This window comes from Homo sapiens, chromosome 4 (assembly GCF_000001405.40).
Source record: "Homo sapiens chromosome 4, GRCh38.p14 Primary Assembly".
In the NCBI taxonomy this organism is placed as follows: Eukaryota; Metazoa; Chordata; class Mammalia; order Primates; family Hominidae; genus Homo; species Homo sapiens.
In genome coordinates, this window is record NC_000004.12 from 130,004,924 (window position 1) to 130,032,385 (window position 27,462).

At 35.4% G+C, this 27,462-nt stretch overlaps 1 long non-coding RNA gene and 1 pseudogene across 1 annotated transcript, besides 3 other annotated features; one reads left to right on the forward strand and one right to left on the reverse strand.

Moving 5' to 3' along the window:
- On the reverse strand, positions 17,664-17,960 carry CYCSP14 (CYCS pseudogene 14; annotated as a pseudogene).
- On the forward strand, positions 18,155-25,842 carry LOC105377418 (uncharacterized). Its single transcript, XR_939192.3, has 3 exons — positions 18,155-18,222; positions 22,178-22,219; positions 25,693-25,842. It is a non-coding gene; the product is annotated as an uncharacterized LOC105377418 (long non-coding RNA).
- Positions 20,836-21,384: an enhancer, noted in NCBI's record as "OCT4-NANOG hESC enhancer chr4:130946914-130947462 (GRCh37/hg19 assembly coordinates)". NCBI's record gives its function as "activates a minimal SCP1, AML or CMV promoter by ChIP-STARR-seq in naive and primed H9 embryonic stem cells {active_cell/tissue: H9 hESC(naive and primed)}" and the evidence as "EXISTENCE:reporter gene assay evidence [ECO:0000049][PMID:30033119]".
- Positions 21,385-21,931: an enhancer, noted in NCBI's record as "OCT4-NANOG hESC enhancer chr4:130947463-130948009 (GRCh37/hg19 assembly coordinates)". NCBI's record gives its function as "activates a minimal SCP1, AML or CMV promoter by ChIP-STARR-seq in naive and primed H9 embryonic stem cells {active_cell/tissue: H9 hESC(naive and primed)}" and the evidence as "EXISTENCE:reporter gene assay evidence [ECO:0000049][PMID:30033119]".
- Positions 24,369-25,068: an enhancer, noted in NCBI's record as "OCT4-NANOG hESC enhancer chr4:130950447-130951146 (GRCh37/hg19 assembly coordinates)". NCBI's record gives its function as "activates a minimal SCP1, AML or CMV promoter by ChIP-STARR-seq in naive H9 embryonic stem cells {active_cell/tissue: H9 hESC(naive)}" and the evidence as "EXISTENCE:reporter gene assay evidence [ECO:0000049][PMID:30033119]".
- Positions 25,843-27,462: the final 1,620 nt, after the last annotated feature.

Genomic DNA, 27,462 nt, shown 5'->3' on the forward strand with positions numbered 1-27,462 from the left:
ACACTTATAATGAGCTACATATTTTCATATACAATATCTCAATTAATTTAGTCATTAAAAATTGGCATATGATTTTTTACTCAGTCTTAGATTCAATAACAGGAAATCATAAAAGTTTATGAATGTATTCAAAATTGGATACATAAATGAATAATATAGAGGGAGTTTCTCCAAGTATAATATTTCAAGTTGCATGCATTAAAAATTAACATAACCAAGCTTAAAATATAAATTGTTTACAATCAATTCTATATGAAGAAAATATTTGCAGTTGGTTCATAACTGTTAGAAAATGCCATCAAAGAATTGGATATTAGAAGTATAAGGTGTTTTGAGGGGAGAGATATAATTCTCAAATCTCTTTTCTTCCCTCTTTTAGATTTCTTTTAAAATAATTAAGACCAAAATATTTCCAGACTACTTGTCAGATTTCCAAATGAAGTCTCAAGTCTCAAAATAACCAACAAAGCTCTGGTACTTGTAAAATACAAGTAAATACAAATCCATCATAAGTCGGTCTAACAAAATTATGTTCCCAATTTTGGTTATCTAAACAATTAATTAATGAATTAATTTTTCTAGGCATATAATAGTGTATTTATTGGTTTATGTTTCAAGAGACAAATGTCTAATTTCAATCCTGCCATTCACTCCAGCTTGGCAACTTTGAAAATTCTTGTCACTGCGGCTCCTGCTTCCCTATTAATAAAATACTAATGACAATGTTCTGCCTTCCTTAGAGAATAAGTTTGTAAAATATAGTAGAAATTATTTTGAATGTTAAAATTATATATAATAATCTTAATATTATTTTAATATATCTTAATAATTTGAATTAAGCCATTTGGATTCATAGCTTTTATTTAGATTGGTGAAATCTTCCATTTGCATCATATATATATATATATATATATATATTCAAATTTGGGGTATTCGTATAGTCTAAATTTGCTGAATTTCAAGTTTTGTGAACGTTTTCTTAAATTGGAAAACTATTGTGGATAATGGAAAGTTTTTACTGAAGTAGTAATGCCATTTTAATATTCAGTGATGGTATTGAAAGACTGAGCATCGTCTATCACAGTTCCTTGTTCAATAAAAGGGTGAGTATCCGTTCTTTATTTTTTACTACTCTTTTAAAAAGTCCTACTCCCAAGTTGAATTTTTTTTGTAAGGCTAAAGAAAAAAATCCTAATGGAAAAGTAAAATCGCAACTTCTTGGCCTGAGACCACGTAACACTGTTTTTCAGATGGGAAAAGAGGAAGAGTGAAAAATGCGATGAACCCTTAATACTATAAGCTCCTCTAACTGAGATGCGGTGGTAATTGCTTTTTATTTTTTTGTAACATCTCCTGGAAATGGTAATGCTTTCAAGTGAGGACCAAAGAGAATGACCTACATAAGAAATAGATTGCAACATGTAGTTACATTTTTCATCCTTTGTAATATGCTTTTTGCATCCATACTTCTAATGTGAAATACAGCATAATGCTCATCATTTTTCAAAATGAGTTGCCACTAAGGTCAGATGGGATACTTGGAAACTATAAAAAAGGTGATTTGGACCAAGGTGTTAATGCCAATAGGTGAATCAGTCTTCGCAGACCATCCTTGTGCATTTAAAGAAAATAACACCAAAGATTCAGAAACACACACACATATATTATCTGTTTCCGATGTGGTGTATTTATGCAAGTATATATCATCAGAAATGGGCAATTCATCTCTATTTTATTACCCAAAATATTCATCAAAAAGCAAACGGTGTAATAGTAAGACAGGTAATAAAATGATACAGCTTTTAAGGCTCATAAACACATTTAATTCAGTTTTTTCCCAGCCATAAATTTGGCCAATCAAGAGGTGTCCTTCAACATATGTTAACCACGTATTTTACCAAGAATTTTTCACAAGAAAAGATATCTTTTGCCAACCAATCACAGGGCTAAAGTCATGCCATTATTGTTCTAGTCCGAAATAATGTGCAAATTATTATCTAACAATGCATCAGATATTTTCAATGATGAAAGTTACCCAAAGAGGCAAGAGTTAAAAGTTGTGTGGAAAGTTTCAGTGTCTAGAAATTGGCAGAGAAAGAATCCAGTGGTACCAGGAAAAAGGCAAATGACTTAATTCACAAACTTTCTCAAGGGCTGTCCTTTTCCAGTTCTCCTTCCACCAACAAATGTAAAACATCCTATCCTGACACTATGCTGTTTCTTGAGAAAAGATGGAAATCATTCTCTGATATCATTTATAATTATCCTTGACAGCAGAAGAGGGTGAAAAAAGAATTTATTAGTGACCCAGATAGAGTGAGTACATTGAAAATAGTCACATTTGTTTTGATGGAAAATGATTCTTATCTTACAAAGATATCTGAAGAGGTGTTCTATGGCTATAGCATCACCATTCCTTTAAAAAATAAAATTACTTTCTGCATGAAGTCTAGAGGTAGCCTTTGAGGGTCATTTCAGGGAGGCCTGAATGAACTGATGGATGTCCGCCAGTATGCACTTAACAATTTGGGGACAAACATAAAGGGCTGTAAGGATACACAACAAAATAGAAATGGATTAGCCAATATGTCTCCAATAAAAGAAAGTGCTTCTGTAAAGCGATAGCTGCATTTTATTGTATATTACAGATTTATTTGCTCCATACAGAGTTTGCTATATATTTTCTGAATATCTGTTTATTGGATCTTATTTGTCCCATAATCATGGTAACATTTGATATGTATTTCTGTTAAAAGAAACATTGTTTCTAAGATATCAAGCTCTAAATGACAAATCACTTAATTTAATGAAACGCCTTTTTGATAAGAGAACATTTAAATAAAACATTTTGTATATAAAATGTTGAAACAAAACTACTTTAAGTTGCAACTAATCTTAAATGTTTTGACCATCTTATAGAACAAATATCCTGAATTGAAGTCTTTCAGGGTTTATTAAAACATCTTTCGAATATTCTACTATTCCAAAGTCTGTTTAGGCTTGCACCTTCATGAAAGAGATACTTTTGGAAATGAACAAATGAAACCAGACTAAATGCAGGAGGTGATAAAAGCACACAAATTGTCCAAACTAAAAATGCTTAAGCAAATGTGACAATAGGCTTCACAATCATAAAAATTATCTACTAAGGAATTTGAAAATTTTGCATGCAGATAATACACAGTGCAAAAGTTCCTTGATTTATTTATCCAATTTAAAAACATGGTATTATCAAAAAATGAAATAAAATACAGGGATGTTCAATAAACATGGATTAACTAAATTAACTTTTAAATATTTTAAGATTTGTGAATTCTATATTATAAAAACTCTATGAAGATTTCCACATATAATGTATTGTATATATTCATGCTTACTTTAGTTATAACACTATAAGAAGTTTTACTTGATAAAACCAGTTCAAAGATAAATATTAAAAAGTGATATAATTTCTAGGTATACCTTTTGTATTCATAGGACACTTGTTTATTATTTTGGAGGTTTTTAATATGAAGGATTTTTAGTTGGTACCTAAAACTAATTGAAAGTTTTAAGTTATAATAAATGTACAGAGTTTGTTTCAATTTCTGATGCTTCATGCTTTCATTTTAGCAGACAGTAGAAATGTTTTTTCATGTGCCATGTTTGCCAAGAAAAAGCACAATATTCTTCATGCAGATCTTAAAATATTGGCTTAGAAACTAAAAATCTAATTTCTGTGGGAAAAAAAAAAGTGGAACAAGAAATATTCATCCAGTTAGATAACTATTTGGAAAGCACTGCAGAGATGAATAAATTACCCCTGAGAATTAGGTTCAAGATTTTGGGAAAGATCTTGTGTTTGGTGATTCACATTTATTCCCTTCTTTTAAGAGATAGCTCTGAAAGGAAGAAATCTCAGTATCCTTCTCTTGAAGTAATAAATATTTTCACATGCACAGAAATGAAGGTAGTGTTTTCTTGCAAGAGCCTATTTGATTTCTGGATTGTGTATCTAGATTCTATACCAGAATACCAGAGCTAGCTAGACTGAATTTTATATATTGTGAAATTAGCATCCTCGGTTTACAGAAAGAAAACTGAGTCTCAGAGAGATATATTGCATCCTTGATGACTCCAATTTGTACAGGTTACAACCCCCAAACAAACATTGCACTGTAGAGAACTGATAGTCAGATTTACCATTTAAAAATGTTTTGTACAGGAAGTCTAGTGCTTTTTTTGAAGCTCTTACAGTGCTTCCTTACACTGATCTCTTACAGTGATCCTAAGTGTTTAACATGGTTTTAGTTTTACATCTCAACTCTCCTCCCTGATCTATCCATCTAGACAATGGTCAGAATTAAAATGTTTGTGGATGATGAATGATATCAAATATTTAATAAGCTATTCTAAATCATCGGACTGTAATTACATAAAAGGTTGTTATAATGAAAGCAAGTGGCTTATGTGGCCAATAGAACCCTGGTATAAAATATTATAGTCTCATAATTCAAAATATGCTTTTGATTGTTATTTGATGTAACATAAGAGTTCAAGAATAAAAATCGACTTGTCTATTATTTATTCCGCAGTTTTAGGCTCATAAAATTCTGTAAAAGAGATTTGCCTTCTACAAAGCCAGCACGACTCTGTGTGGTACTAGTCACTTGGAAAATTTAAGCTCACATTTTTAATACATATATCAGCAGTCTCTTTAGCAGTGAGATTTCATAGTTTCTTTTCAAAAATTATGTGTACATATGTATATATTTATATTTATTTTAGGCAGGCAGATGTACATTTTATTCTGTGACCAGAGCTGGAATCTGAGCAAAGCTGTTCTTTTCCATGATGTCTAGAGACAAAGGTTAAGATTTTTACTTCTAAGTAGCAAATAGTTTATCGAGTATGCGTTAAGTTTATTTCTCTCTTTATTTACTTGTGAGTTAGGCTGGTTATTTATTTGCTTAAGAAATCCTTAGATTTGTATGGAAGAACACAGTCATAACATTTTTAGCATTCTCCTTATTCAACACTTTATGTCCAAAATCTGAAAATCTACAGTTGTCACCAATCAGGCCAAGCTATCGTTGGTTAGTGGAAACTTGCTGACTGACACTGCAGAATAGTTGAAGGAAAGCCCTGAGTAGCAGCCCCTCAATTAGTCAAGGGTCAGGTGGTGAACAGTTCAGCATCAATGCTGATAGAAATGGTGCATAAATGCTAACATTGTTACAAAGAACATGACTTGGTAGTATCATTGTAAAATTGCATTTATATTCAGTAGCACATTGTATATGCATGTATAAACTATTTTCATTATTTTTGGAGGAATTATATTTGAGAACAGTATATTGAGACTTGAAAAACATCTAATTTATTTTCCTTATTTTTTTGTTACATGTGTCCCAGTATAAAAATTACTAATCATTAAATGTTAATATTAATTTAATATAATTGGTAATTTATGTGCATGCTTTTAACTTTTGTGTCGTGGTAATCAAAGCAAAAAGCACTTTCTTTTTCTTTTGTCTTTGTATGTGGAAGGAGAAAAAAAAGCACTGTAATCTGTATTATGTAGATAGGAGAGAAAGTCACTAACATATTACGTTTCTGATTCGTCACCATACAGAATGTTCGGGCCCATTGAAAATAAAAGAAACTCTTAGTGTCTGCTTCTTTTAATCTTTAATATAAAGTACTATAATATAAAATAACAATAAAGCACTAAATGCCATATTCATTCATTTTCCATGAAAAATTAGATATTATAGACAAGCATTCATATTCTAATTTTTTCTTAAGTAACAATGACAATCTCTAATATATGCGTTTTAAATATTTCAGTTTCTTTTTCTTTCTTTTCTTTTTTTTTTCTTTAGAGATGGAGTCTCGCTCTGTTGCCCAGGCTGGAGTGCAGTGGCGTGATCTCTGCTCACTGCAACCTCTGCCTCCCAGGTTCAAGCAATTCTCCTGCCTCAGCCTCCTGAGTGGCTGGGATTACAGGCATGAGCCACCGCACTCGGACTAGTTTTTTTTTTTTTTTCTTTCTATTGTTTAAAGTAAGAGAACAAAGTAATAGAGTCAATAACTATTCTTTCTTTTACTGGTTGGCTTTGCCCAACTTTTTGGATCATTAGTTTTCATAATGCAATGTCAGTTTATCTTTTGTTTCTTATATATATATATATTTATATATATATTTATATATATATTTTTATATATATATTTATATATATATTTATATATATTTATATATATATTTATATATATTTATATATATATTTATATATATTTATATATATTTATATATATATTTATATATATTTATATATATTTATATATATATTTATATATATATTTATATATATTTATATATATTTATATATATTTATATATATATTTATATATATATTTATATATATATATTTATATATATTTTATATATATTTATATATTTATATATATATTTATATATATTTATATATATTTATATATATATTTATATATATTTATATATATATTTATATATATATTTATATATATTTATATATATTTATATATATTTTTATATATATTTATATATTTATATATATTTATATATAAATATATATAAATATATATATATATATATATTTTTTTTTTTTTTTGAGAAGGAGTCTCACTCTTTTGCCCAGGCTGGTGTGCAGTGGCGTGATCTTGGCTCACTGCAAGCTTGGCCTCCTGGGTTCACGCCATTCTCCTACCACAGCCTCCTGAGTAGCTGGGACTACAGGCACCGCCACCACGCTCAGCTAACTTTTTGTATTTTTAGTAGAGACAGGGTTTCACTGTGTTAGCCAGGATGGTCTCGATCTGCTGACCTCGTGATCCGCCCGCCTCGGCCTCCCAAAGTGCTGGGATTATAGGTGTGAGCCACCGCGCCCGACCTTATCTTTTGTTATTTTTAAAAATAGAACTCTATTTAATCAAATCATGTTTCTTTAATTTTATTTTGAAATATTTTCTTTATAAACTAGTCACAGGAAAGTGTGTGTGTGTATATAAATAATTTTTATACTTATTTAAAGTACATTAGAATACAGATAGTTTTGTGTATATGTATATATACACACACACACACACACCCCTCCATTGTTAATAGAAATGGAAATAACAATGAAAATCATCTTGATTATTCTAATTTTATATATAAAGTAAGTCTCAGAGAGATTTTGAAGCACTGTTAGGTATACAACTAGAATCCCAGTTTCCAAATGTCTGCTTTCCTAGCAAAGGATTGTGAAGTTTCTAAAGTCATGTAATTAAAATAGCTGTCAGTTAACCAAAATAAATAGAATTTTGCAAGAATTTAAAGTATATTCCTGAGTATTAGAAAATGGTCAGCCTGTGTGACTCTCCATTGAATAATTCTGATAAGTTGTTTTAGGTTGGGTAGCAAAGAATAAATAATATTTGATTCTTTTAGAAAAGGTTTATTATTAAGCCTCTAATACTGCAGCACCTTGTAAAATGCATCCCGAACTGCTAAGCCCACCATCTATTCATCTAAGATCCTGTGGGCACTTAACTTAAAATTGTAGAGATTATGCCTAATAACCTACTTGTATGCTCAGCTTACGTGCTATAGATTATAGGGGTTCTGTGGGTAGTTCTCTAGAAGTGTTATCTATGGCTGCCTTTTATCTGAATGTATTATTGAGAGGTGACAGCGTGCTGGCAGTCCTCAGAGTCCTCGCTTGCTCTGGGCACCTCCCCTGCCTGGGCTCCCACTTTGGCGGCATTTGAGGAGCCCTTCAGTCCCCCACTGCACTGTGGGAGCCCCTTTCTGGGCAGGCCAGAGCCCACTCCCTCAGCTTGCAGGGAGGTGTGGAGGGAGAGGCGCGAGCGGCAACCGGGGCTGCGTGCGGCGCTTGCGGGCCAGCTGGAGTTCCGGGTGGGCAGGGGCTTGGCGGGCCCCGCACTCGGAGCAGCAGGCCAGCCCTCCTGGCCCCGGGCAATGAGGGACTTAGCACCCGGGCCAGCGGCTGCGGAGGGTGTACTGGGTCCCCCAGCAGTGCCGGCCCACCGGTGCTGCGCTCGATTTCTCACTGAGCCTTAGCTACCTTCCCACGGGGCAGGGCTCGGGACCTGCAGCCCGCCATGCCTGAGCCTCCCACCCCCTCCGTGGGCTCCTGTGCGGCCAAGCCTCCCCGACGAGCACCGCCCCCTGCTCCAGGGCGCCCAGTCCCATCGACCACCCAAGGGCTGAGGAGTGCGAGCACACGGCTCGGGACTGGCAGGCAGCTCCACCTGCAGCCCCGCTGCCGGATCCACTAGGTGAAGCCAGCTGGGCTCCTGAGTCTGGTGGGGACCTGGAGCGTCTTTATATCTAGCTCAGGGATTGTAACTACACCAATCAGCACCCTGTGTTTAGCTCAAGGTTTGTGAGTGCACCAATCGACACTCTGTATCTAGCTGCTCTGGTGGGGCCTTGGAGAACCTTTATGACTAGCTCAGGGATTGTAAATACACCAATTGACACTCTGTATCTAGCTCAAGGTCTGTAAACACGCCAGTCAGCACCCTGTGTTTACCTCAAGGTTTTGTGAGTGCACCAATCCACACTCTGTGTCTAGCTGCTCTGGTGAGGACGTGGAGAACCTTTATGTCTAGCTCAGGGATTGTAAATACACCAATCGGCACTCTGTATCTAGCTCAAGGTTTGTAAACACACCAATCGGCACCCTGTGTTTAGCTCAAGGTTTGTAAACACACCAATCAGCACCCTGTGTTTAGCTCAAGGTTTGTGAATGCACCAATCAACACTCTGTATCTAGCTGCTCTGGTGGGGCCTTGGAGAACCTGTGTGTCGAAACTCTGTATCTAACTAATCTGATGGGGATGTGGAGAACCTTTGTATCTAGCTCAGGGATTGTAAACGCACCAATCAGCGCCCTGACAAAACAGGCCACTCCCGGCTCTACCAATCAGCAGGATGTGGGTGGGGCCAGATAAGAGAATAAGAGCAGGCTGCCCCAGCCAGCATTGGCAACTTGCTTGGGTCGCCTTTCACACTGTGGAAGCTTTGTTCTTTCGCTCTTTGCAATAAATCTTGCTACTGCTCACTCTTTGGGTCCACGCTGCTTTTATGAGCTGTAACAGTCACTGCGAAGATCTGCAGCTTCACTCCTGAGCCCAGTGAGACCACGAGCCCACCAGGAGGAATGAACAACTCCAGACGTGCTGCCTTAAGAGCTGTAACACACCGCGAAGGTCTGCAGCTTCACTCCTGAGCCAGCGAGACCACGAACCCACCAGAAGGAAGAAACTCCGGACACATCTGAACATCAGAAGGAACAAACTCCAGACGTGCCACCTTAAGAGCTGTAACACTCACCGCGAGGGTCCACAGCTTCGTTCTTGAAGTCAGTGAGACCAAGAACCTACCAATTCCGGACATATTATGTCTAGCTGTATTGTGCAGAAGTCCATAAAGTACTAGATAACTACTTTACTTCTAAGATATATATACCCCACGGTGTGTTCACCAACTGGAATTTCTCCAGGTTCTATTTTGACACAAAATGTCCTTTACCACTTGGGTCTGGCCTCTGAATTGTGGCTGTCTTAGCAGTCCAGAAACTATAGTAATTTGGTGAACAAATCATGTGCAAGAGAAGTTTAAGATGGCATTGAATTAAAATAAAATTAATATTAGTATAAAGGTAGTTGAGGGAAGTGGAGCTATAAAAATCCTTTATATTTTTCACTTTAACAACCTATTTTCAAGGATGGAAAGCCAAGATGATAAACTGGTCTTTAAAACCTGGAGAGTTATTACTGGTGTCAGGCTGGAAACAACATTTATTGACTGCCCATGAAAATATCAACCTGGTACCATTCCTGATAAAAGGGTCTAGGGCACAGAATTGGTAGGTCCTAGAGGCAAAGTGTGCTAATCTGCTTTGCTAATTAAATTCTGAGATTTTAACAGATTAAAAATGGCAGGATTTCCTAGTGTATTGCAAAATGACAATACATGCACACACAGAGTATTGGAGAGTAAGGGTAACATATTTTTATAGATACTTAAAGTTCATTGGAATACGGGTAAGCTTGTATATATTTGTACTATATTTAATGTTAACATATAAATTAAATACTATTAAAATAATTCAAAGGGCCAAAAATATACTTTTCCACAAGTCTCTGAGATAAATATTCTGCTAACCTAAAATTGGCTGGAACTTAAATACTTGGGGGCAGATAGAAAAAAATATAGTCAAAGGATTTCAGGATGCAGTTTCATGGAACTTTTACTAAATATGTTTTCTGAAGTTGTTTCCTTTACAAATAGTTCTTGCAATGCTGTACAGCAATGATTGTTGAAAAATTCTTCCTTATTTTGAGTTGAAAGAGTATCCTTTGTCTTTCATTACCCTTGGAATAGCACAAAATGGCTTTTTTGTTCCTTCTACCATTTTGTAATTACCAATTTTCAAGTTTGATATCTACTGGTTCTTCCAGGAAAGGTGAGTAAAAGGGGAAGAAAAGCAATTTGCAGTTATTTAAGAAGTAATGCCTGAAATAATGGACACTTAGTTTGTAATTCTGAGTTTACAACTCAGTGGGAGGTCACTAAACTTTTAAAATGACCATGTTAACTTAGTAAACAGATCTTATTTATTTAAAATTGCCACTCTACTACATATTAACATTGTATCCTTGATCAGGCAATTTAACTGCAGTCTCTCTTTCCTTATCTGTGAAATGAGGTTTACCAACATTCATCATAGATATTTTGTGATGTCAGATGAAATGATGGATGTAAATTTATAGCAGAGAAACTTACAAAATATGTTTCATTTAAGTTAACAATAAGCTATCATTTTGGTTAATTGTACTTTTTTTGTTTTTGAGATAAGTTAGACATCTTTTTTTTTTTTTTTGGGGGGGGTTTAATTTTTTTTTTTTTTTTTTTTTTACTTTTTAATTTTCTTTTTTTTTTTTATTATACTCTAAGTTTTAGGGTACATGTGCACATTGTGCAGGTTAGTTACATATGTATACATGTGCCATGCTGGTGCGCTGCACCCACTAACGTGTCATCTAGCATTAGGTATATCTCCCAATGCTATCCCTCCCCCCTCCCCCAACCCCACCACAGTCCCCAGAGTGTGATATTCCCCTTCCTGTGTCCATGTGATCTCATTGTTCAATTCTCACCTATGAGTGAAAATATGCGGTGTTTGGTTTTTTGTTCTTGCGATAGTTTACTGAGAATGATGGTTTCCAATTTCATCCATGTCCCTACAAAGGACATGAACTCATCATTTTTTATGGCTGCATAGTATTCCATGGTGTATATGTGCCACATTTTCTTAATCCAGTCTATCATTGTTGGACATTTGGGTTGGTCCCAAGTCTTTGCTATTGTGAATAGTGCCGCATTAAACATACGTGTGCATGTGTCTTTATAGCAGCATGATTTATAGTCCTTTGGGTATATACCCAGTAATGGGATGGCTGGGTCAAATGGTATTTCTAGTTCTAGATCCCTGAGGAATCGCCACACTGACTTCCACAATGGTTGAACTAGTTTACAGTTCCACCAACAGTGTAAAAGTGTTCCTATTTCTCCACATCCTCTCCAGCACCTGTTGTTTCCTGACTTTTTAATGATTGCCATTCTAACTGGTGTGAGATGATATCTCATAGTGGTTTTGATTTGCATTTCTCTGATGGCCAGTGATGATGAGCATTTCTTCATGTGTTTTTTGGCTGCATAAATGTCTTCTTTTGAGAAGTGTCTGTTCATGTCCTTCGCCCACTTTTTGATGGGGTTGTTTGTTTTTTTCTTGTAAATTTGTTTGAGTTCATTGTAGATTCTGGATATTAGCCCTTTGTCAGATGAGTAGGTTGCGAAAATTTTCTCCCATGTTGTAAGTTGCCTGTTCACTCTGATGGTAGTTTCTTTTGCTGTGTAGAAGCTCTTTAGTTTAATTAGATCCCATTTGTCAATTTTGGCTTTTGTTGCCATTGCTTTTGGTGTTTTGGACATGAAGTCCTTGCCCACGCCTATGTCCTGAATGGTAATGCCTAGGTTTTCTTCTAGGGTTTTTATGGTTTTAGGTCTAACGTTTAAATCTTTAATCCATCTTGAATTGATTTTTGTATAAGGTGTAAGGAAGGGATCCAGTTTCAGCTTTCTACATGTGGCTAGCCAGTTTTCCCAGCACCATTTATTAAATAGGGAATCCTTTCCCCATTGCTTGTTTTTCTCAGGTTTGTCAAAGATCAGATAGTTGTAGATATGCGGCATTATTTCTGAGGGCTCTGTTCTGTTCCATTGATCTATATCTCTGTTTTGGTACCAGAACCATGCTGTTTTGGTTACTGTAGCCTTGTAGTATAGTTTGAAGTCAGGTAGTGTGATGCCTCCAGCTTTGTTCTTTTGGCTTAGGATTGACTTGGCGATGCCGGCTCTTTTTTGGTTCCATATCAACTTTAAAGTAGTTTTTTCCAATTCTGTGAAGAAAGTCATTGGTAGCTTGATGGGGATGGCATTGAATCTGTAAATTACCTTGGGCAGTATGGCCATTTTCACGATATTGATTCTTCCTACCCATGAGCATTGAATGTTCTTCCATTTGTTTGTGTCCTCTTTTATTTCCTTGAGCAGTGGTTTGTAGTTCTCCTTGAAGAGGTCCTTCACATCCCTTGTAAGTTGGATTCCTAGGTATTTTATTCTCTTTGAAGCAATTGTGAATGGGAGTTCACTCATGATTTGGCTCTCTGTTTGTCTGTTGTTGGTGTATAAGAATGCTTGTGATTTTTGTACATTGATTTTGTATCCTGAGACTTTGCTGAAGTTGCTTATCAGCTTAAGGAGATTTTGGGCTGAGACGATTGGGTTTTCTAGATAAACAATCATGTCGTCTGCAAACAGGGACAATTTGACTTCCTCTTTTCCTAATTGAATACCCTTTATTTCCTTCTCCTGCCTGATTGCCCTGGCCAGAACTTCCAACACTATGTTGAATAGGAGCGGTGAGAGAGGGCATCCCTGTCTTGTGCCAGTTTTCAAAGGGAATGCTTCCAGTTTTTGCCCATTCAGTATGATATTGGCTGTGGGTTTGTCATAGATAGCTCTTATTATTTTGAAATACGTCCCATCAATACCTAATTTATTGAGAGTTTTTAGCATGAAGGGTTGTTGAATTTTGTCAAAGGCTTTTTCTGCATCTATTGAGATAATCATGTGGTTTTTGTCTTTGGCTCTGTTTATATGCTGGATTACATTTATTGATTTGCGTATATTGAACCAGCCTTCCATCCCAGGGATGAAGCCCACTTGATCATGGTGGATAAGCTTTTTGATGTGCTGCTGGATTCGGTTTGCCAGTATTTTATTGAGGATTTTTGCATCAATGTTCATCAAGGATATTGGTCTAAAATTCTCTTTTTTGGTTGTGTCTCTGCCCGGCTTTGGTATCAGAATGATGCTGGCCTCATAAAATGAGTTAGGGAGGATTCCCTCTTTTTCTATTGATTGGAATAGTTTCAGAAGGAATGGTACCAGTTCCTCCTTGTACCTCTGGTAGAATTCGGCTGTGAATCCATCTGGTCCTGGACTCTTTTTGGTTGGTAAACTATTGATTATTGCCACAATTTCAGAGCCTGTTATTGGTCTATTCAGAGATTCAACTTCTTCCTGGTTTAGTCTTGGGAGAGTGTATGTGTCGAGGAATGTATCCATTTCTTCTAGATTTTCTAGTTTATTTGCGTAGAGGTGTTTGTAGTATTCTCTGATGGTAGTTTGTATTTCTGTGGGATCGGTGGTGATATCCCCTTTATCATTTTTTATTGTGTCTATTTGATTCTTCTCTCTTTTTTTCTTTATTAGTCTTGCTAGCGGTCTATCAATTTTGTTGATCCTTTCAAAAAACCAGCTCCTGGATTCATTGATTTTTTGAAGGGTTTTTTATGTCTCTATTTCCTTCAGTTCTGCTCTGATTTTAGTTATTTCTTGCCTTCTGCTAGCTTTTGAATGTGTTTGCTCTTGTAACTTTAAATATAAATGGACTAAATTCTGCAATTAAAAGACACAGACTGGCAAGTTGGATAAAGAGTCAAGACCCATCGGTGTGCTGTATTCAGGAAACCCATCTCACGTGCAGAGACACACATAGGCTCAAAATAAAAGGATGGAGGAAGATCTACCAAGCCAATGGAAAACAAAAAAAGGCAGGGGTTGCAATCCTAGTCTCTGATAAAACAGACTTTAAACCAACAAAGATCAAAAGAGACAAAGAAGGCCATTACATAATGGTAAAGGGATCAATTCAACAAGAGGAGCTAACTATCCTAAATATTTATGCACCCAATACAGGAGCACCCAGATTCATAAAGCAAGTCCTGAGTGACCTACAAAGAGACTTAGACTCCCACACATTAATAATGGGAGACTTTAACACCCACTGTCAACATTAGACAGATCAACGAGACAGAAAGTCAACAAGGATACCCAGGAATTGAACTCAGCTCTGCACCAAGCAGACCTAATAGACATCTACAGAACTCTCCACCCCAAATCAACAGAATATACATTTTTTTCAGCACCACACCACACCTATTCCAAAATTGACCACATAGTTGGAAGTAAAGCTCTCCTCAGCAAATGTAAAAGAACAGAAATTATAACAAACTATCTCTCAGACCACAGTGCAATCAAACTAGAACTCAGGATTAAGAATCTCACTCAAAGCCACTCAACTACATGGAAACTGAACAACCTGCTCCTGAATGACTACTGGGTACATAACGAAATGAAGGCAGAAATAAAGATGTTCTTTGAAACCAACGAGAACAAAGACACGACATACCAGAATCTCTGGGACGCATTCAAAGCAGTGTGTAGAGGGAAATTTATAGCACTAAATGCCTACAAGAGAAAGCAGGAAAGATCCAAAATTGACACCCTAACATCACAATTAAAAGAACTAGAAAAGCAAGTTAGACATCTTCTAAGTCATATTGTACATAAACCACATTGAAATTAATGTTACTGTTTGAAAGGTAACATCTATGTGAAGAGAATTATGTTTAGGTTTATAGGAAAACTGCTTCTCTGCTCATAACACTTTTGACATCAAATATGTGGGTTTTCCACACCAAGCAATTCTCCAGGTCTCTGGAGATATCATACGTGGGTGTCCTACAATCCAATTCGATTCTGACTCTAACTACCCAGCGTTAGCACAGACCCAACAGAGAAAGGGCTCAGTCCCACAAGACTGCCCTTGCTTCAGGCATCAGTTGAAAGTAGCGAGTCCCCAGGTTACCCACACTTCTGTCTGACATGACTACAAATTGTGGCTTTCCACAGCCCCTTCTTCAGGTTCCATAATTTACTGTAACAGCTCACAGAACTCAAGGAAACATTTTGCTTAACATTACCAGTTTATTACGAAAGATTCTATGAAGGATACTGTGAAGCCAGATGGAGAGATACATAAAGCCAGGTCTGGACTGGGTCATGAGTACAGTAGCTTATTCTCTGTAGAGTTGGATGTGCCACCTTCTTAGCACATAGATGCATTAGCCATCATGAAAACTCTGTAAACTACATCATTCAGAGAGTTTATGAAGTTTCCATTACATAGGCATGATTGATTAAACTGAGCCATAGGTGATCAGCTCCTCTCCCCTTCCCAGAGGTCAGAGGTGCAGCTGAAAGTTCCAACCCTCCCATTGTATGGCAACCACCCTTCATCCTGAGGCTATCTAGACATACATCAAGAGTCACTCTATTAGCATAAACTCAGATATAATTGAAAAGGATTTATTATGGACAACAAAAGACACTCCTCACACCTATCACTCAAGAAATTTCAAGGATTTTAAATGTTGTGTGCCAGGACCCAGAGATGAAGACCAACTATATACTTCCTATTAGATCACAATATCACAAGGTTGTTATGTGACAAATGAAGGAAATTCGCATAAAAATGCCTTTGTTAATTCAGAGGACCTTCAGATAGACTAAGTCACTTCTATGAATCAATCCAGATTCTAATACACATAATACTGACTTACGATGATTTAACTTACAATTTTTTGACTTTATGACGGTGTGAAAGTGTTAAGTGTTCAGTAGAATGTATACTTTGAGTACTCATATAACCCTTTGTTTTTCACTTTCAGTATATTATTACATAATATATTCAATACTTTATTGTACAATAGGCTTGGTGTTAGATGATTTTGCCCAACTGTAGGCTAATGTGAGTGGTCTAAGCACATTTAAGTCAGGCTAAGGCAAGGTATAATGTTCTGTAGGTTAGGTGTATTTAATGAATTTCTGACTTAAGATATTTTCAACTTACAATGGGCTTATCAGATGCAACCCTATTGTAAGTTAAGGTTCATCTGTACTGGTTGAACAGTGCTTGTCTGGTACCATATCTGGAACTTACGCTTATTTATTAGGTACTGTGTAATGTAATCCACACACACAAAGGTATCGTTGTTTCTTGGTATTCGTAGGGGATTCATTCCAAGACCCTCCGTGGATACCAAAATCCATGGATAAGATGCTCAAGTTTCTTATATAAAATGGTGTAGTATTTACATATAACCTATGAACACCTTCCTGTATACTGTAAATCATCTCTAGGTTACTTATAATACCAAATACACTGTAAATATTATGCAAATAATTTTTAATTTTTTTTTTTTTTTTTTTTTTTTTTAGAGACAGGATCTTACTATGTTACCCAGGCTGGTCTCAAACTCCTGGCCTCAAGTGATCCTCCCCCCTCAGCTTTCCAAAGTGCTGGGATTACAGGCATGAGCCACCTGCCTGGCTTTGCAAATAATTTTTATACTGTATTATATAGGAAATAATGACAAGGAAAGAGTTGTGCATGTTCAGTACAGACACACCCGTACATTTCTTTTTCTGAATATTTTCCATGTGAGGTTAGTTTTATCCACCAATGCAGAACTCGTGGATAAGGAGGGCTGATGGTATATACATATACAAATACATATACATGTACATATACATATACACACATTCCTTAATCTTCCTAAGAAGATGTTATAAGGTAAGGACTCACTCTACTAAAGCACAGAGGATTTCAGTAACTTCTTCAAAGTTATTACACAGTTATTTTATGTGAAGTGAGATCTCACCTAACTTTAAAACCCATGTATTCCAGCTGCTATGGCTGTATTACAAAGCACCTTAGAACTTTAGTGGCTTAAAACAATGCTCAAATTTATTTTGCTCACAAGTCTGCAGCTGGGGCGTGATCAAGTAAAATGTTGCTGCTTTCCATTTTTCTGCCTTCAGGTGACATTCACTCCCAATGGTTGACTGAGTCAGGGTATAAGGCTATCCTGGTCTCAAGAGGAGTAACTCTGCAGTGTGGTTTATGCTCCAGAACCCTCCCTCTGTGCAGGCCAAGCCTGGGGTATAGCTCAGGACACATCTTTGTTTGTTTCCTCCCTCTTTCCTATTAGACTTCATTTCCTGATAGATTTGTTCAAGAGTTCTCCTTCAGTTAATCACATGCTCCGATTCGCTGTCTTGGGCTCTCTGTCTAGGAAATCCAATCCAAGACATGGGTTTAAATTGCATGTAAAAGATCAAGAAAATGAAATTATTAAAATAGATAAAGCAATAAACAACTTTTCTCACTGGTAGCTTTTTCCAGGTATTGTATTAGTTCTTCCCTAATGTTAATTAACTTGGCTCTAGAGATACATTTTTTTTTTTTGGATTTTCCAAGGTTTTATTAGAACATGTTCTTCACAATGCTTGCATTGCTTTTGTTGTGATCTGTGTACAAAAATCCAGGTGCTTGATTATCTCTTGCACAATTTGTCCATGTAAATTAATTTTTCTTCTAGCCTCTTTTTTCACACGTGAAGCACAGGACACACTTTTTAAGAAAAAAAACGTCCTTGCCTCTCTCAGCATCAACAACAATTGGTATCAGAGACCCACCCCAAGCATGTATTTAGACAGCTTTCTGTGGACTCTGCACCTTTATATGTGAAGTAGAGGCTGAATTTACATTATTTCACAATGTCAAATAATACTGGATGATTCAAATAGAGTTTGAAAATAAATTGAAAAATTTAGAAAATTAAGTTTACGAAACATGTAATGTGTATTTGTAGAATCCAGAAGATATTTCCCAGAATGAAGAGGCAAGAGAAAGAACAAAGCGGAGACTCAATATAGATGTATGTAATAGCATATAATTTCATTTGTCTTTTACTCTGAGGAAATATTTAAGTAGATAAAGGTTTCCTAACTCCTTGCATGTTCTCTGTCATTCTAATGTTTATATTCACCAGGGCCAGGAAGCCAGTCACTTCTCCCACCCACAGAGCATCTCACAATTCACAGCAAGACACTCTGAGAAGGCACCAGCACACAGAACCCCCTATTAAAAATCCAGCATCACTGATTCAAAGTGCCTATTCTTTTCTAAGAGCCGGAAAAAATTATTTTGTGTAAAATGTATTTTAAACTTCACTTTTCTTAAGAGAGTCAAGGCAAAGGAAGAAACTAATGATAAATAACATCCGTAAAGACTGAATGACAGTATTTTAAAGCTTTAGTTTAGACTTATATTCTGAAACAGTAATTTTTTAACTCACAAAATGAATTTCATCAGTGACAGTATTTCACATCTCCCAGTTACATTTGTACTTTGAAAGAATATTTTTTTAACCTATAAAGTGGCCGAACTTCGGAACTTTATTGAGCCAAAAATCTTTTTATGAGTAAGTCCTACTTAAAAAAGAACAGAAAGAGTTATGGGAAAATATGGGGATAAAGTCACAGATGTACAAACCTTTTTTGCTATTTTAAAAGAACCAAAATAAATAAAAATAATTCAAAGAGGAAAAAATAGCAAAAATTAAGCCTAATGTTAAAAGCGTAGTTTGGAAGAAGAAATTTTGGCAATTAATGAAAAGTCCATTTATCCACCCATCCAAAAATAATCTGGTGAGTGGACAAGATTCCAGTAACTAGAAACGGGAGGACTGGGAGTGGGTATAGGCAAGCCAGAATAAAAAGGTCTAGCATGCTTTCTAGGCCAGTCAGGTGGCGTGTGGTGGGATTTGTTCCATAGGGGATATTCAGCAAATCTGGAGATGTATTTGATAGTCATACTGGGGACAGGGAGGGCACTAGTTATGTGTAGTAGAGATCAAGGATGCTATTAAATCCTACAATACACAGGAAGGTTCCCCTCCTCCAGCAACAAAGAGTCATCTGATCCACAATGTCAATAGTGTGAAGGTTGAGAAAACCTGTTTTAGGCTAAACTCTTTGTCCCACCAAAAAAGAAAAAAAACATATTATGAAGAAACATTACTGTATTCAGAAAAATAAAGATCATACAAATGCTTGCTTTCTTTTCTGAATTCAGCCATTTACCAAATTAGATTTGAACTCTGGGTTCAGAATCAGAACCATGTGATTCAAATATGAGATCATCACAAGTGGACCAAATTATTTCAGAAATAGACATCGATCGTATTATACATTTGACCCATTTCTATTCCTGTTATCATGACATTGCTGTGCTTCATTGGGTCACTGCTTGCTCCATTGCTTCTGTGGTAGGGAAAATTTTTCTAGGTCAGCCAATTGTATACCTTTAGTAGCCTCAGAGGGGACCCCTTCAAAGATGATGGTGTAATTATACCAATACATTTCCTCCCAGGTCAAATTTATCTCTGAGTTTTTCCCTGTTGTTTCTATCTCCTTTATGGTGGAGTGTGTACGTTTTTAAGAATTTCCCAGAATAACATTGGGTGGAAATTTCCCTAATTTATTTCCTAATTTCTTATTAGTGGTGGTCTTAGTAGAACTGGGTGGGGAAACTTATTCAGAGAACATCTAGACTTCTCCATATGATTAAGTATATTTGTATATATTAAACAAATTAAATATATTTTTGTAAGAATTCCCTTGGCTGTAATATCCAAGAGCTCTGGTTGATTCTGTGGGAAGCCAGTGTTGCAATTGTAGAGAATTTTTTCCTTGAGAGTTATGTAAAACTTGCAGTTGGTATTTTCAGGTTAGAGAACAGTTCCCAAGATGGTTGTAGTCCCTGATTTTTGAGACATGCTTTGGCCCAGGTAATATTATGTTGTATACATCATGTTCCTTATATATATCTATTGATAAGTGATCAGGAATGAGGCCCATGGTCAGGTACGCTTGGTCTGTTAGTGCAATTTCTTTCCACCTCAATAAATGAGTCTTGCACTGGAGTGGGGGAGATCAATATAACTAATAGGAAAACGGCCAATATTTGTAAAGGCTTACATTGTTGGCAGACTTCACATTTATAATCATCCCAGGGATTGGAATGAGGTATAGTTTTGTCTATCTCTGTAATCCCAGAGGGTATGTTGGTATTGCCTCTGGATTTTTAGTTTAATTGCACCAATCATGAGCTTCATGGTTGTAACATTGGGTACACATTATTGCTGGGCACTCTTCAAATGAGACTCAGTAGGTAGTGGCTCTTTTTGTTTGAAGGCACTAGTTAATTAGAGTGAGTTTTGTGTGATTTGGAGTAAAAGTTGGCCCAAAGATAGTTTAGAAGACATTTAGGAGTCTCATGCTGAATTTTCTACAGTTTATAGCCTGCTACTTACTGTCTCAAATGTTATTTAATTTTGGTTCACCTTGATGTTAATTTTAATGGGCTCTTTGTTTGACTTAATTTGTTGTATGTCTGTCACATTCTCCATTATGGAACTTAGAAAACATTTTTCATTAGCTTCTTTAAAAAGTGTTTTTAGGTAAGAGTAGTTTATTCCAAATATTTGGTTCATTTCTTCTCTGATCTTCTGTAGCAATCTTGTCCCCTTCCCATGGACCCTATGCTAAGTACTGTTTATTTTTCCATTTCTATTTCCTATGTGCTTTTAGAACAGTAATCTCATTGGATTCTCTGAAACACTTAGAGTAGCAAGTCCTTAACCACATTCATTAAAGTTAACGGATAACAGGATTAATCATGTGCTTAAAAGTAAAAGAAAAAAAACCAACAAGATTACATGAAATAATTACATGATTATATAATAAACCTTTTGTGTAAAATAATAGAAATAAAATTAATAATTATTTTGCTCAGTCTATGTAGTTATTTGAGAAGAACAAGTACACGTAAATAATATTTAACAAGCAAGGATATATTAAAATTTGTGACAAAATGCTAAGAAAACAGGAAATTAAACTAGCAAATTTCAAAAACTGGAATAAGGCAGGCTTCTTTTGTGGGGAAAAAAATAAAATAACTTAGAGGGCAAAATAGTAAAGAGAAAGCCAGAACAGTGGGACTCAAGCTGCAACATCCTGTAGAAAACCTTGCCTTATTAAGCTAATTGGTTTCTGTTTGCCTCTTCACTTGTCCCCAGGTGCTTTCTTGCTCTGCTCCACAGGTGGTCCCAGTTGTTCCTGGCGGGTGTGAGTGCTCTACTCAGTGTGTAGTGAGTACTCAGTAAAAGCTAACTTCCTAACTGCCTGGAGCTGAATTGACTTCCACAACAATGCCATAGAATTGCTAAAAAGGGAATACAGCCAGGTGGCTCACCTCCTCTTCCCTCTATTATCTGAGATCTTTTATTGGTTTATACAGTGTGAGTGTGGCCAATTGAAATTATCAAAAGCAAAGGAGGAATGCGCCAGTTCTTATTAAGAAAATTAAAAACAAAGCATCTTTCTCATTCTGCCTTTACATCTATTTATATTATGTTATACACTATCTCCACTGCAAACATAAATTTTCAAATAATAATAATATAAAGGTTGGATGACTGTCTATTTTACTATCAATTGTAAGTATATTTTTTTTTAATTTGGCATTCTGTTAAATTTCATGATTTAAAAAAAATGTTGTTTGGAGAATTCATTGGTATGCTCAAAAGATAATCTCCACAGAATTCATCTTGTGAATAGAATTATTTTCAAAGAAGACTACTTCCTGATGCTACACTATAAAAAGATTTGGGTATTACACAATGTATATTGGCTCTTGTACATGGACTTCAGGGTATAGAATTGATATTATGCAAAAATTTGATTTTTGAGAATGAGCGCTTACAAATAAATAGATTTATATTTCACTTTTTCTAGATATCTAATACTACGTATAAATTATCTTTTTAGGATCCTGAAAAACAACTTTAATCGGGGTTATACTGTGTTAAGGTAAGTGCCCATGAGTTTACTTCATGTAGTTCAAATATAGTATTTTTACTCTCAGTCAAAAAACATTCTTTAATCATGAATATCTTTTATTTTAATCTTTTATTTTTATTGTGGCTATAGATTATAAAATAACTTATGATAGAAATTTTATGCAGTGAATTTTTAGGTCTCCTAGCTACCTTATTTGATGTTCCAAAAATGTATTCTATATTCGAGTACTGCAAACACCATCTAGATAGAAGTCTTCTTAGAATAGAAACAGATTGTTTGACATTTGGTTGTTCTTTATTTCGATAAAAGTGGTGCATGGAGAAAAGTTTAGCTTTAAAAAAAATTGGCAAGTGAGTTTAGAAAAAAGTTGATTTGGCTCAAGGGTTTGGTCAAATTTAAGTATTAGACAAAAAAGCTGGGATTGATAATAGAAATAGCAAGAGGTTATTTTCTTCATTTCACCAGTGTTTATAAAAAGATCAGTTTTCACACCGGTACTTGCTGAACAAAAATTAATAACTTCACACATTCCATTTACTCCAGGAAGGAACCACAGAAGCCCAGTGTTTCTGAAAGTGGGGTTCTACCAGCTCTGTACTATTTAATAATAAGATAGTATATAAATTTGAGTGCAAATTCAACTTTTGGGTATCCCAAAGAAACTAGAGCTAATAGCTAAATAAATAAATGTTTCAATACCTTAGATGATTTTAACAAAATTTATTCAGCTGGTTGAAAAAATTGCTGGGCACATTGTAGCTAAGGTTTCCAAAATGTAATTGGGAATGTCAAAACGAATCATAACAAAATGTACAACTGTGCAGATTTATGCTTTGTACCAGACATTCCTAATGCATGGAATAGTTACAGAGAAAAAGACTTCAGTGTCAGTTATGAAATTGTAAGTGGAGGAAAATTCATTTCTTTATTCCTTTATGATAGCACATTCTAATGGCTTTAGCTATATGAGAGCATTTTTAACATAAAGGCCATGATTTATATGAACCATGCATGAGTCTGGAATGAAAAAAGGTAATTTTCAATATGCTAATGCTATGCTGTACTGCCTAGAACACAGCGATCCAATAGAAATATAATGTAAGCCTTACATTGGAATGTAAAATTTTCTAGCAGCCACATTTAAGAGTAAAGAAAAATCGGTGAAATTAATTACAATGTCATATTTTATTTAATCTGTCATATCCCAAAATATTATTTTTTCAACATATAATGAATATAAATTAATTATTGAGATATTTTACACTTTTTTGTACTTCTAAATCTAGTGTATATATTCCACTTACAGTACATCTCAGTTTGGACTAGCCACATTCAGGTGCTTTATAGCCACATCTTGGATAATATGGGCTTAGAAAAATACCTATATTACCTCTTGAATTGAATTTAGTAGAATAATTATCTTCATAAAATCATGTGTATCTATTAGATTCTTAAAAGACAAAAGTACAACAAACCTAGTTTTGCAGATCTTAATTGGCTTGTATCTGCAATTCCAGAATCGGACAGCAGTCAGGACCAAAAATCATTCAGAATGTTCCACCTCACAAGTGCAGGTTTTATTTATAGCCAGGGACAAGGAAGTGACATACAAAAAGCAGAAGTGAGGTACAGCCAGATTAATCGGTTAAAGCTCAGCATTTGCCTTAATTGAATGTGGTTTGAACAGCCTGCTGGCTGCCATGGACTGAAGCTAGGCTGGAGTGATTGGCTGAGACTCAGCTATTTGTTATAAAGGCAAATTCCGAAGATAAGTTTTCAGCTTTTTTATATACCAGCTTAGGTTGCAGTTTATTTAGGAGGACTTGTACTGAAGCTTCTAAAGCTCAGACTTAGTTCAATTTAACAACAACAATTATTAAAATTAGAAATTTAGTCATATAGCTGGGATATATCTCTGTGATACTTAGGTATTGATTCTTCAGAATCAACATTTTTCAAATGAAAATGCCTTATTTGTTTACAAAAGATGAGAATTGAAATGTATAATTTCTGAGTATCATTTTTATATCAACGAATTAATATTATAAAAAACTTTTCTCTCCAGTGTAAATTAGTTGTCTCAATATATTTTTAATGCATAAAATGGATATATGGTCAAACATTTTTATGGGAGACTATGCCTATGATTGAAATTTTATGAATCTACGTGTGTCTCCTCTGTTTTACCAACACTGAAGCTCTGTAGCATCCATGCTCCAGGAGCACTAAACAGTTAGTTTATTTATTTGCTCCTTTTCTGTCACATTATCTTATCTTACTGAATGACACTCTAATCCCTTAACTTGTCTGTCACCACACACCATGAGATAATGAGCTGACCTCTCTCTGAATATGTAGTCTAAGTCAGATATAACACTGAATATTTGCTAGTGGGAAAAGTGGATAATGGGCATGTTCAAGAGATAGGCAATATACTTGGACAGGGACAAAGTAAATGTGGGTGGTCAAATACTCTCTCCCTCAGGGAAGTGCCCAGCAGGAGGGAGAAATCCTGAGTACTTGTTTAGATCACCTTAATGACCATTAATCAACGGGTTTGGCTAAAAACAAACAAACACACACCCCAATCCTAAATAGTTATCCTTGGTATAAGGAAAGGGAACTTGAGACAGCTGATAGCACATTCTTCATCACATGGTTAAGGTTCACAGGTCAAATTTATTAAGTTAATTTGATTGACAATGATTAAGTTCTTAAATTCAAAAGTTTAGAATCACCATAAACCCACGATACTATTATTTCATGTAAACATGCTCATTTTGTCCCAATAGTGCAGATGTCTGCTGTTAACCATTTTAATTGCTGTTATATTTTAAGTGTTTGTACATTATTTGAAAGTGTAAGTATGCTATTATTTTATGGTTTATTAAGCACAAAGCACACACATTCAGTCATAGTTGTAATGCATGGGTCAAGAATCAATACCCTCATTTTGAAAGTGATAATTATTCTTCCCTGTTATCTATTCCAAAGCAGAATGAAATGAAAATTAGTGTCAGCCCTTGAAAAGCAAGCATTATGGCTTGAAAAAGTAACAGTTAATGCTATACCTAAATAAGAAAAATGTATGGTAGTGCCATATTAAAATGTGCATTGAAGGAATGTATTAACTGTCCATTTCAAGTCATAACTAATAAAATTAAAATATAAAACATAAAGGTAATTTTATTATGAAGCAACACTATTTATTTGTCCCACAAATTTACTAGTATCTTTGATATGTGTTTATTAACAAATTGCATATAGTGAAACTACCATATGAGAAAAGAATTAACATCAACTAATAGGTATCACAAATGCATTAATGGTATATACACTCATAAAAATCGAGGCTAACTTATCTATCATAAGAATAAAATATTTGCAGTTTAGCTTCTAAATAGAAAAAATCTCAGAGAAATTGTTTGAAATATATCATAATGTTTTAAACCTGTGTCTGTCTCATGTCCCAATTTCACCAGGGTCCTCAGAGCTGCATGAGTCTTACCTGTAAAGAGGACCCAGAGGCTCACAACATGAAATGACTCTGGGATGTGTAAAAAGCATTGATCTACAAGAGACATTGAAATCATTTAGTATAAAACCTTCACTTTATGGATAAAGAACAGTAGGTAATTTTTGCCAAATTACATGCCTTTACACTCACAAGGTCTACATTCATTTTTTTCTGTTAAAGAATAATTTCACATTTCCTTTGGGAAATTTGTCCCTCTGTTATCAATACGCGTGTTTCTTGGTGGCTAAACTACCCAGCTAAAGAAAAGGAATATAATTAATTGCCTTAAGTCATTTCTCTGGCCACAGTGGTTTAACTAAGCAGAGGCATATTTTGTAACAGTGATAGCCAGGATCAGGTCTGTTGTCTTACTTTCCGTTAAAAGGAAAATTCTCTCTTTTTCTACTGGGCTTCAGGTTATGAATATGTAAGACCTGAAGTTCCTGTGGTCATAATGCAATATGCAGGGGAGAACTAGTTTGAGAAGGAGGACAGTATTGAATTGCTGATGCTGCAGGTATTCATTAGTCCAACCACTGCTCCATGAGGCCGCCCTGCCCCCGGTGTGTTTGGCTCCAGTCCCATATACTGACTTTCTAATAAGGAGAGGAAATCCATTTTGTTTTTGACTTATTAGAGTTTGAATTTGGCTTTTTGTCACTTTCAGTTTCAAGAGTCTTAGTTGATTAAGTATGTTAAAAATTACAAATATTTCCAAGGTCGAGGTCTTAAAATGGCCCCAAACTTAATTGTATGTTGGGGCTCAGTGTAGGAACCAGAATCTTGTTTCCTAGCTTTCAGTTTACTGTTTGTGCCCCTATAAAATGTTGTATTCCTCAATTATCTTGGAAGCTTCTGGACAATGGAATGTTGGCTACATAGGGAGTTTTGCCATGGCACCTGGGTGTCAGGGTTTAATTCAGTTCATCTATTGATCGTACCTTTACTAAAAGGAGAAGATATCCATGGAATCCCAAAATGATATCTAAAAAGTAGATTTTTGAGGATCTTCTGGAATTAAAAGTACCTTTTAATATGAAGGGAACAATAGTAGACTAAGAAATAAAAGACAAATTCAGAAACTTTATGAATGTGTAGTAAGAGAAAAAATTTTAATCTTTATAAACTATTGAGATTTGGAGGTTTTTATTATTACATCATATTTTAGCTTAAACCGACGACTCAGAAAATGAAATGTCCAAAACTGAATCCCTCTATCTTCTCTGAAAAATTTTTACAACGTATCTCGGCTGTATGTCACGTTATTTAATATGGAGTCTGTGTCATGGCTAAAAACCTATCTGTGATGTTTCAGGCAATTACAAAGTCTCTACCAGATAGGACTTAATGCAAGAAAGCTGCCCTCCCCATACCACGTGAGGCACAGAGAGTGCTCTGTTGTCTCTAAAGAGAGTTGCAGTTATGAACTCTAGATTCCTTGGCTGCCCATGCTCTTACACCTTCATTCCTAGGCTAAGTGCCCTCATTTGGAGATCTTTTTGTCTGGGAATTTTTTGGAGCCTACATCAACAGTAAGATGATCCTTAAGTCTGTGCTGATTTACCTGACCCTTGCCTGCAGCCATTCTATGGAAGAAGAATGAAACATTGAAGGACCAACACATTCTCCTATTTAGCTTCTTTCTTTGCTATTGAGTAAAGACTTGATTTTTGCTTTCATTTTGGTTTCTTGTCTTAATTACCCTGACACCAGGCAGCTCAGTTCTCTCCAGCTC